Here is an 8058-nt window from a genome sequence, read left to right on the forward strand (position 1 = left end):
CAGGCACGGGAGCACCTAGAATGTTCCTTTACTAGACGTGGAGTAGAGCTGATTAGATGTGAGCAGTGGCTCTAGGAGTTGGTTCTATGATTCTCTGTGTTTCTGCCTTTTAAGAAATTTTATTTCTCGGCCGGGCTCGGTGGCTCATGTCTGTAATCCCAGCACTTTGGGAGGCCGAGGCAGGCAGATCGCCTGAGGTCAGGAGTTTGAGACCAGCCTGACCAACATGGAGAAACCCTGTCTCTACTAAAAATACAACATTAGCCAGGCGTGGTGGTGCATGCCTGTATTCCCAGCTACTTTGGAGGCTGAGACAGAATTGCTTGAACCCGGGAGGCGGAGGGTGCAGTGAGCCGAGATTGGGCCATTGCCCTCCAGCCTGGGCAACAAGAGTGAAATTACATCTCCAAAAAAAAAATTTTTTTTATTTCTCGAGTTTGAGTGAAAGGAGCGACCCGGAGGTGAGGCAGTGGGGCGTGTGGGTGCGCATGAGTGCGAACACACGTGGGGGTGCAAGTGCATGTGTGTATGTGCACGCAGGTTGCTCCTAGGGGTGCAAAGGCGCGCGCACGGGTGCGGGGTGCGCGCCCCCTCGCGGCGCCTTCACGGCCCTCCCGCCCCTCGCCCTGCAGAGTACAGCGGCCGCCGGCAGCCCTACCCCTTCGAGCGCATGATCTTCGGCGCCTGCGCTGGCCTCATCGGGCAGTCGGCCTCGTACCCGCTGGATGTGGTGCGGCGGCGCATGCAGACGGCCGGCGTCACGGGCTACCCGCGCGCCTCCATCGCCCGCACGCTGCGCACCATCGTGCGGGAGGAGGGCGCCGTGCGCGGCCTCTACAAAGGCTTGAGCATGAACTGGGTCAAGGGTCCCATCGCCGTGGGCATCAGCTTCACCACCTTCGACCTCATGCAGATCCTGCTGCGGCACCTGCAGAGCTAGGGGACCCTGAGCTGCTCTCAGGACGGTGGACCGGTGACCCCTTTGTATTCTGGGCCCATGGAACGGTGGGGGGGTGCGCTTGATTCTACTTCAGGAGGCACATGGGGCGCTTTATGGAACGAGCAGGTGGGCCTGAGGGGCCTGGGCTCAGAGTCCACGTCCAAACGCAAAGCTGGCAGCCCTGGAAGTGCAGTGTTGGGGCGATGGTGTGGGGGGTCCCGCAGCTCCCCTCTTCCTTCCTCTGCAGACGCTGGCGCTGTCTGCCGGAGGTGTTGCCCAAAAGGCCCTAGTGGGGCGTGGTCAGCTCCACCTCCTGATCCTGTGTGTCCTCCGACATGCTGCTGATTCTAGTGACCCCTGTCCCCACCAGGCTCAGAGCCAGACCGCGCCTGGACCTTCTTGTTCTGACTCCACGTGCCTGCCCGGCCTCCAGGGTGCGGGGGCGCCTTTCTTGCAGGCGGACCCTGCCCAGGATGGGGCCAGCCTCGTGCTCAGCTTTGGCCACAAATGCAGCCCCTGGCCCACCCCACCCTGCCGGCCCTGCCTTCTCCAGTATTTCCCACATGGCCACGACTCCTCAGTCACTAGAGCCTCCTGCTGGGAACAGTGTCCCCCAGAGCCTCATGTCTATCCTAGACCCTGCAAGCAGCTGGGTCCCCAAGAGTGCATCTCCCCCTAGAGTTGCCTGCCCATGCCCACCTGCTTTGTAACCTTCCCAGGAGATTCATGCTTGCTCTGCACAGCAGGGCTCGAGGCCCAGGCCATGACACGGAACTGCCTCAGGTTTGGGTCAGACCTGCATCCTGGGGCATCTGCTGAAATGTGAGCACACAAACCACCTCCTTTGGCCCAGAAGCCCCCCAGGCCTAGCATCTCAGTGCCCCAACCCTCTGCCCAGCTGTGGTATCCAGCAGGTCCTTGGGTCCCCACTTGAGCAGGCACTTGGCTGGGATATGGAGCAATTTAAAGCCCACAGGGGTTGTTCAGTTTCTATGAAATGGAGCATGGGGTGCCTGCTAGCCTCAATCCCCCGAAGTGGGAGCCTCATGATAGAGTATAGCTTGGGGGTGGGAGGTGAGGAAAATCTGAGGTACCCAGGGGAACCCCCAGCTAACTGGTCTCTCAGAGGAGTCCCCCAGGGCCCGCCAGCTATCACAGGGACTCAGAAACACCCATTTCCTAATGACATGGTGAGTTTCTTGATTTCTTTTTTTTGTTTGTTTTGTTTTGGTTTTCAACTTGGCTGACCCCGGGTCTATGATCTATTCACATCGAACCCCTGACTGGTCTGCCTGGTGCCAGGGTGAGCGTGACCGTGAGTGTTGCTTTCGACAGCTGGCTCAGCACACGCTGTGTGAAGGGATCTGAGCTTGTTCATCTCCAGTCGTGACTTCATTTCCCTTCCTTCTGTCCTCCTCCTGTTCTTGCCTTGGACCTGCAGGTGTGCAGACCGCTCTCTCTGCCTTCCTTGCATGTGGCCACCAGCCATCCCTGATCTTGTCCCCAGAGGCCCAGGCAGCCTGTGATGGCTGTGAGGGGCTGTCCCACTGTGTGGGTATCCCTTACCCAGCACTTAAACTTGGCAGGAGAGGCAGGGCAACCCTCACAGGGAGATGGGAGGGCACCCAACTCCCACAAGCATGCAACAGCAGTAGGAATTGGGGGTCTGCCCCAGGTGGGTGAGACCAAATGAGTGGATTTGGGGCCACAGGCTAGGCAGGAGAGACAAGGGGTAGGTGGGAGGGTCCCCCAGTCCCTGCTGACCCCAGTGTGTCTCCCCGGAGATGGCTCCTAGCTGAGTGGGACCCGGCAGGAGTTGGGGACAGTGCTGTCCCCCACCCCTGCACACAGCCAGGCCCTCAGGCTCTGCGGTCACTCGCCTCCCTGCTGGTCACTGGTCTTGGTCTGGAGTTATATTTTGATGCCATGAAGACACTGTTTATATCTAATGTTTATATATTTTAAAGATTTGTGCCAAGAGAGTATATTTAATAAAAACTTAAATGACTTCTTCTCCTGCTCCTGGCTCTTCTTTGGCTCTGACCGCCCCCCCATCTTCCCCCATGAACCCCCAAACAGGGTTGAAGTGCTTTTGACACATTTGTGATAAAAGTTCTGAATAAAAGTCTTGAATAAAGAAGTTTTTAAATGCAATTGTTGTTTGAATTAATACATACCACAATTTTCCAGAAAACACCAGCTGTCCACAAGGGTTTACAGTGAAAAGTAGGTGAACAGTTCCCTCTGCAGGGGGCCTCCTGTGACCATTTTCTCTTGTCTCCTCCCACAGAGATTCTGTGCATACACTCATCCCTTTCAGGATATATGTGGCCACCCACAAAGGCAGGAGGGGCCGTCTCTGTGCAGCCAGCACAGCCCAAAGTCTCATGGGCTTGAACATGGCCTTCCTTCCCAAGAGCCCTGCACTCTGGGGCTGGCTGAGGCTTCAGGCCTGAACGTCAGTCACCATCTGCAGGGGCAGCCACCAGAGGGTCTCCAGTGGCAATCCTGGCTCACTTCACCTGCAGCCCATTGGCCAGAGCAACTTGGAGGACCCACCCACTGCCAGGCCAGAAGTGGGAGCCTCTGCGTGCCCAGAGAGGAGGGGCGGCTGGGCCAGCACAGGCCTGGTGCTCTTGTTGGGGTGGGAGTAGGAATAAGTTCCACTGCGCTGACCCCCCACTGCTCTCCAATCTGCTCACGTGCAACAGGATTTCTTTTGAGTTGGTCTCCGTTGTGCACATTGTTCAGCAGCTGTGCGGTTTTCTCCTAGAGGATCCCCAGGATGACATTTACCAGGGTGGGTGTGGTGGCTCATGCCTGTAATCCCAGCACTTTGGAGACTGAGGCAGGTGGCTTGCTTGAGCCCAGGAGTTTGAGACCAGCCTAGGCAACACAGTAAGACCCCCCATCTCTACAAAAAAATAGAAAAATTAGGCCGGATGCAGTGGCTCACGCCTTTAATCCCATCACTTTGGGAGGCCAGGGCAGGTGGATCACTTGAGGTCAGGAGTTCAAGACCAGCCTGGCCAACATGCTGAAACCCCCATCTCTATTAAAAGTACAAAAATCCTAGCTACTCAGGAGGCTGAGGCAGGAGAATTGCTTGAACCTGGGAGGCGGAGGTTGCAGTGAGCCGCTGCACTCCAGCCTGAGTGACTGAGAAGTCTCCGTCTCAAAAAAAAATTTTTTTTTAATTAGCCAGTCTTGGAGGTGCGTGCCTGTAGTCCCAGCCACTCAGAAATTCACGCCTCCCTTATGTTACCAAACCAGGCTCGTTCTGCCCAGCAGTATGCCAACAGAGATGACAGGTTTTGCAGCAAAGAGTTTATTCACGAGGCAGCCGAGTGAGGAGACAGGAGAACAGATCTCAAATCCGCCTCCCTGAAGATGGGATTTTAGGAATATTTAAGGGATAGAGGAGCAAGGTGGTCAGAGACGTGGGGAAAAGTGGGGCAGTCGGGGAACCGTGCGTGCGTAGTCAAGCTTCATGGCTTTTCCATAGGATGTGTGTTCACAAAATGACATTGTTATCATGATCTGAGGGTGGAGTGTTTGGCCCTCTAACGTCAAAGGTCACCACCTAAATATACACAGGCCAAGGTGAAGGTTCGGCTCTCAGCCCATTTGGATTGGACAAGAACTGATCCTGTTCCTGAAGAACAACTTGAGCAACCATTACCATGGTGGCCCATACATAGAGATATTATCTATAAGGAAACTAGTGGGAGTTTTTTTGTTTGGGTTTTTTTGTTTTGTTTTGTTTCTTTGTTTTTGAGACGGAGTGTTGCTCTTTTTGCCCAGGCTGGAGTGCAATGGCATGATCTCGGCTTACTGCAACCTCCACCTCCCGGGTTCAAGCGATTCTCCTGCCTCAGCCTCCTAAGTAGCTGGGACTACAAGCGCCCGCCACCACACCCGGCTAATTTTTTGTATTTTTAGCAGAGACGGGGTTTAACCATGTTGGCCAGGCTGGTCTCAAACTCCTGACCTCAGGTGATTCACTCGCCTTAGCCTCCCAAAGTGCTGGGATTACAGGCTTGAGCCACCGTGCCCAGCCTATTTTTCTGTCTTTCTTTTCTTTTTTTTTTTTTTTTTTTTGAGACAGGGTCTCACTCTATTGCCCAGGCTGGAGTGCAGTGACACTACCATGGCTCACTGCAGCCTCCAACTCCTGGGCTCAAGCCATCCTCCCACCTCAGCCCCCCTAGGAGCTGGGACTACAGGTACATGCCACCACGCCTGGCTACTTTTTGTATTTTTTGTAGAGATGGGGTCTCACCATATTTCTCAGGCTGGTCTCTAACTCCTGGCTCAAGTGATCTGCCTGTCTTGGCCTCCCAAAGTGCTGGGATGACAGGCGTGAGCCACCACACCTGGCCTGGGAGTTTAGCTATACATTGTTTAGCTGAGTGACTTTTAACACTATGGGGTTTATAATCAACTAAAAACAAGTGAGGTAAGTTAAGATTGGTAGGTCTAATCAGGTGAGCCCTCAGTTCCCCTTATGGATGGGCAATTGTTAGGTATTGCCATGACAATGTGATAGCAATTTGGTGGGGGCTGCTGAACTCATCTGCACCCCGCCTCTGACATCCAGCCCAGATTTCTGATCTAAGTTCCACGTTTCACACCAGCCCCTGAACCTTGGTCAACCCCTCCCCTCTCCCACCCACCACTGTGGCATCTCCTAACAGTATAGAGGTGAGCCCGTGGACCTGTCTAGACTAGTGACAGTGAAGAAGATGTTTGCTAGCTGCGTCCAAGAAGAGCTTCAGGAGTCCTTTTTTTTTTGAGACGGAGTCTTGCTCTGTTGCCCAGGCTGGAGTGCAGTGGCGCGATCTCGGCTCACTGCAAGCTCCACCTCCAGGTTCAAGTGATTCTCCTGCCTCAGCCTCACAAGTAGCTGGGATTACAGATGCCCGCCACCACGCCCAGCTAATTTTTATATTTTTAGTAGAGACGGGGTTTCACCATGTTGGCCAGGCTGGTCTTGAACTCCCGACCTCAGATGATCTGAACGCTTCGGCCTCCCAAAGTGCTGGGATTACAGATGTGAGCCACCACACCTGGCCACCAAATGCTTTTTGCTATAAACAATTCCGCGCAGCCTAGGAGTGTCCTGAAGAAACACAACATGGTACCCCAGGTGCAACCGGCGGCTGATGACTGAAGGTAGGTGTGTAAGTAGCTTAACCCATGCCCGGACGTGGGATCATCCTGAGATAATTGCTCTACCCTGCCCCGCTAAGGCCCACAGCAGGACTGAGCCTGGTTGCCCACAGTGTCACCTGCTCATTGGTGCCCCCTGCAGGGCATCTTCCCTCCTCGTCTCAGCTCTCACCCGCCATGGGGGCTGCCTGGGGACACCTCCCAGGTAAACCACTAGCTCTGAGTCCTTTTGGGGTCATCTTTGGGGGAAACCTATCCAAAAAGGAATAGGAATGCCAGGTATTCCTGCAAATAGATCATATAGATTTATACCACATACTCACCCATATTTGATCTTCCATAATCTGACAAGTAAAAAATGGTATCTCAGCCGGGTGCGGTGGCTCATGCCTTTAATCTCAGCACTTTGGGAGGCCGAGGCAGCTGGATCACTTGAGCTCACGAGTTCAAGACCAGCCTGTGCAGCATGGTGAAACCTTGTCTCTACAAAAAATACCGGGCATGGTGGCACGTGCCTGTAATCCCCACTACTCAGGAGGCTGAGGTGGGAGGATGGCTTGAGTCTGGGAGGTGGAGGTTGCAGTGAGTCGAGATGGCACCACTGCATCCCAGCATGGGTGATAGAACCAGACCCTGTCGCAAAACAACAACAACAACAACAAAAACCAGTTAATTTATGGCCAGGCATGGTGGCTCACACCTGTAATCCCAGTTCTTTGGAAAGCTGAGGCAGGAGGATCACTTGAGACCTGGAGTTTGTCTCTATAAATAATTTTTTTTTTTGGTGGGACAGGGTTCTCATTCTGTCACCCAGGCTAGGGTACAGTGGCACAATCACATCTCACCGCAGCCTCAACCTCCCAGGGTCAAGTGATTCTCCCACCTCAGCCTCCCGAGTAGCTGCGACTACAGGCGTGGGCCACTATGCCTGGCTAATTTTTTATATTTTGTAGAGACGGGGTCTTGCTATGTCACCCGAGCTGATGAACTCCTGGGCTCAAGAGATCTGCCCACCTCCACTTCTCAAACTGCTGGGATTACAGGCGTGAGCCACTGCACCCAGCCCTCTACAAATAATTTTAAAAACTATTTTACTATTTTAAAAGTTGAAGGTTATATTTTGTTTTATCTATGAGTTTTATTTCCCCTTTTTATTTTGTTTCGGCTTGTCTGGAAATGGTATATTCCGTTTCTTCACCCATAGGGCTTCACAACATCAGCACTGCTGACATTTGGCGCTGATAATCCTCTGGGGTGAGGCCATCCTGGGCACCACACGGTGTTGAGCAGCATCTCTGGCCTCCATTCTTCAGACACCAAGAGCAACACCTCCACCCCTTGTGGTGACAACTAAAAGATGTCTCCAGACATCAACATGTGTTCCTTTGGAGCAGAACCACCCCGTCCTGTGAGAGGCACGGATATGGTGGTTACAATGGATACATCAACAAGAATTTAAATGTTTGGCCGGGCGCGGTGGGCGCGGTGGCTCAGGCCTGTAATCCCAGCACGTTGGGAGGCCGAGGCAGGTGAATCACTTGAAGCCAGGAGTTCCAGACCAGCCTGGCCAACATGGTGAAACCCATCTCTATTAAAAATACACACACACTGCCGGGTGCGGTGGCTCACGCCTGTAATCCCAGCACGTTGGGAGGCCAAGGAGGGCGGATCACGAGGTCAGGAGATCGAGACCATCCTGGCTAACACGGTGAAACCCCGTCTCTACTAAAAATACAAAAAATTAGCCGGGCGTAGTGGCGGGCGCCTGTAGTCCCAGCTACTCGGGAGGCTGAGGCAGGAGAATGGCGTGCACCCGGGAGGCGGAGCTTACAGTGAGCCGAGATCGCGCCACTGCACTTCAGCCTGGGCGACAGAGCGAGACTCCATCTCAAAAAAAAAAAAAAAAAAAAAACTACACACACACACAAAAATTAAAATATTTATCT

The 8058-nt window shown here is 53.7% G+C and overlaps 1 protein-coding gene across 2 annotated transcripts in view, besides 2 other annotated features; it reads left to right on the forward strand.

Moving 5' to 3' along the window:
- SLC25A42 (solute carrier family 25 member 42) overlaps window positions 1-3094 on the forward strand; it is a 49037-nt gene extending 45943 nt beyond the window's left edge. For both annotated transcript variants that reach the window (NM_178526.5, NM_001321544.2), the window contains exon 8: window positions 633-3094. In NM_178526.5, coding sequence (NP_848621.2) covers window positions 633-940 — 308 coding nt within the window. In that variant the 3' untranslated portion in view covers window positions 941-3094. The remainder of the gene's footprint in view (window positions 1-632) is intronic.
- Window positions 495-684: a silencer, noted in NCBI's record as "silent region_10431". NCBI's record gives its function as "represses an Ori minimal core promoter by ATAC-STARR-seq in GM12878 lymphoblastoid cells {active_cell/tissue: GM12878}" and the evidence as "EXISTENCE:reporter gene assay evidence [ECO:0000049][PMID:35858748]".
- Window positions 3024-3318: an enhancer, noted in NCBI's record as "tiled region #5014; K562 Activating DNase matched - State 8:EnhW". NCBI's record gives its function as "activates a minimal TATA promoter and a strong SV40 promoter by Sharpr-MPRA in K562 cells {active_cell/tissue: K562}" and the evidence as "EXISTENCE:reporter gene assay evidence [ECO:0000049][PMID:27701403]".

The sequence above is a fragment of the Homo sapiens genome, chromosome 19 (assembly GCF_000001405.40).
Source record: "Homo sapiens chromosome 19, GRCh38.p14 Primary Assembly".
NCBI classification, from domain to species: domain Eukaryota; kingdom Metazoa; phylum Chordata; class Mammalia; order Primates; family Hominidae; genus Homo; species Homo sapiens.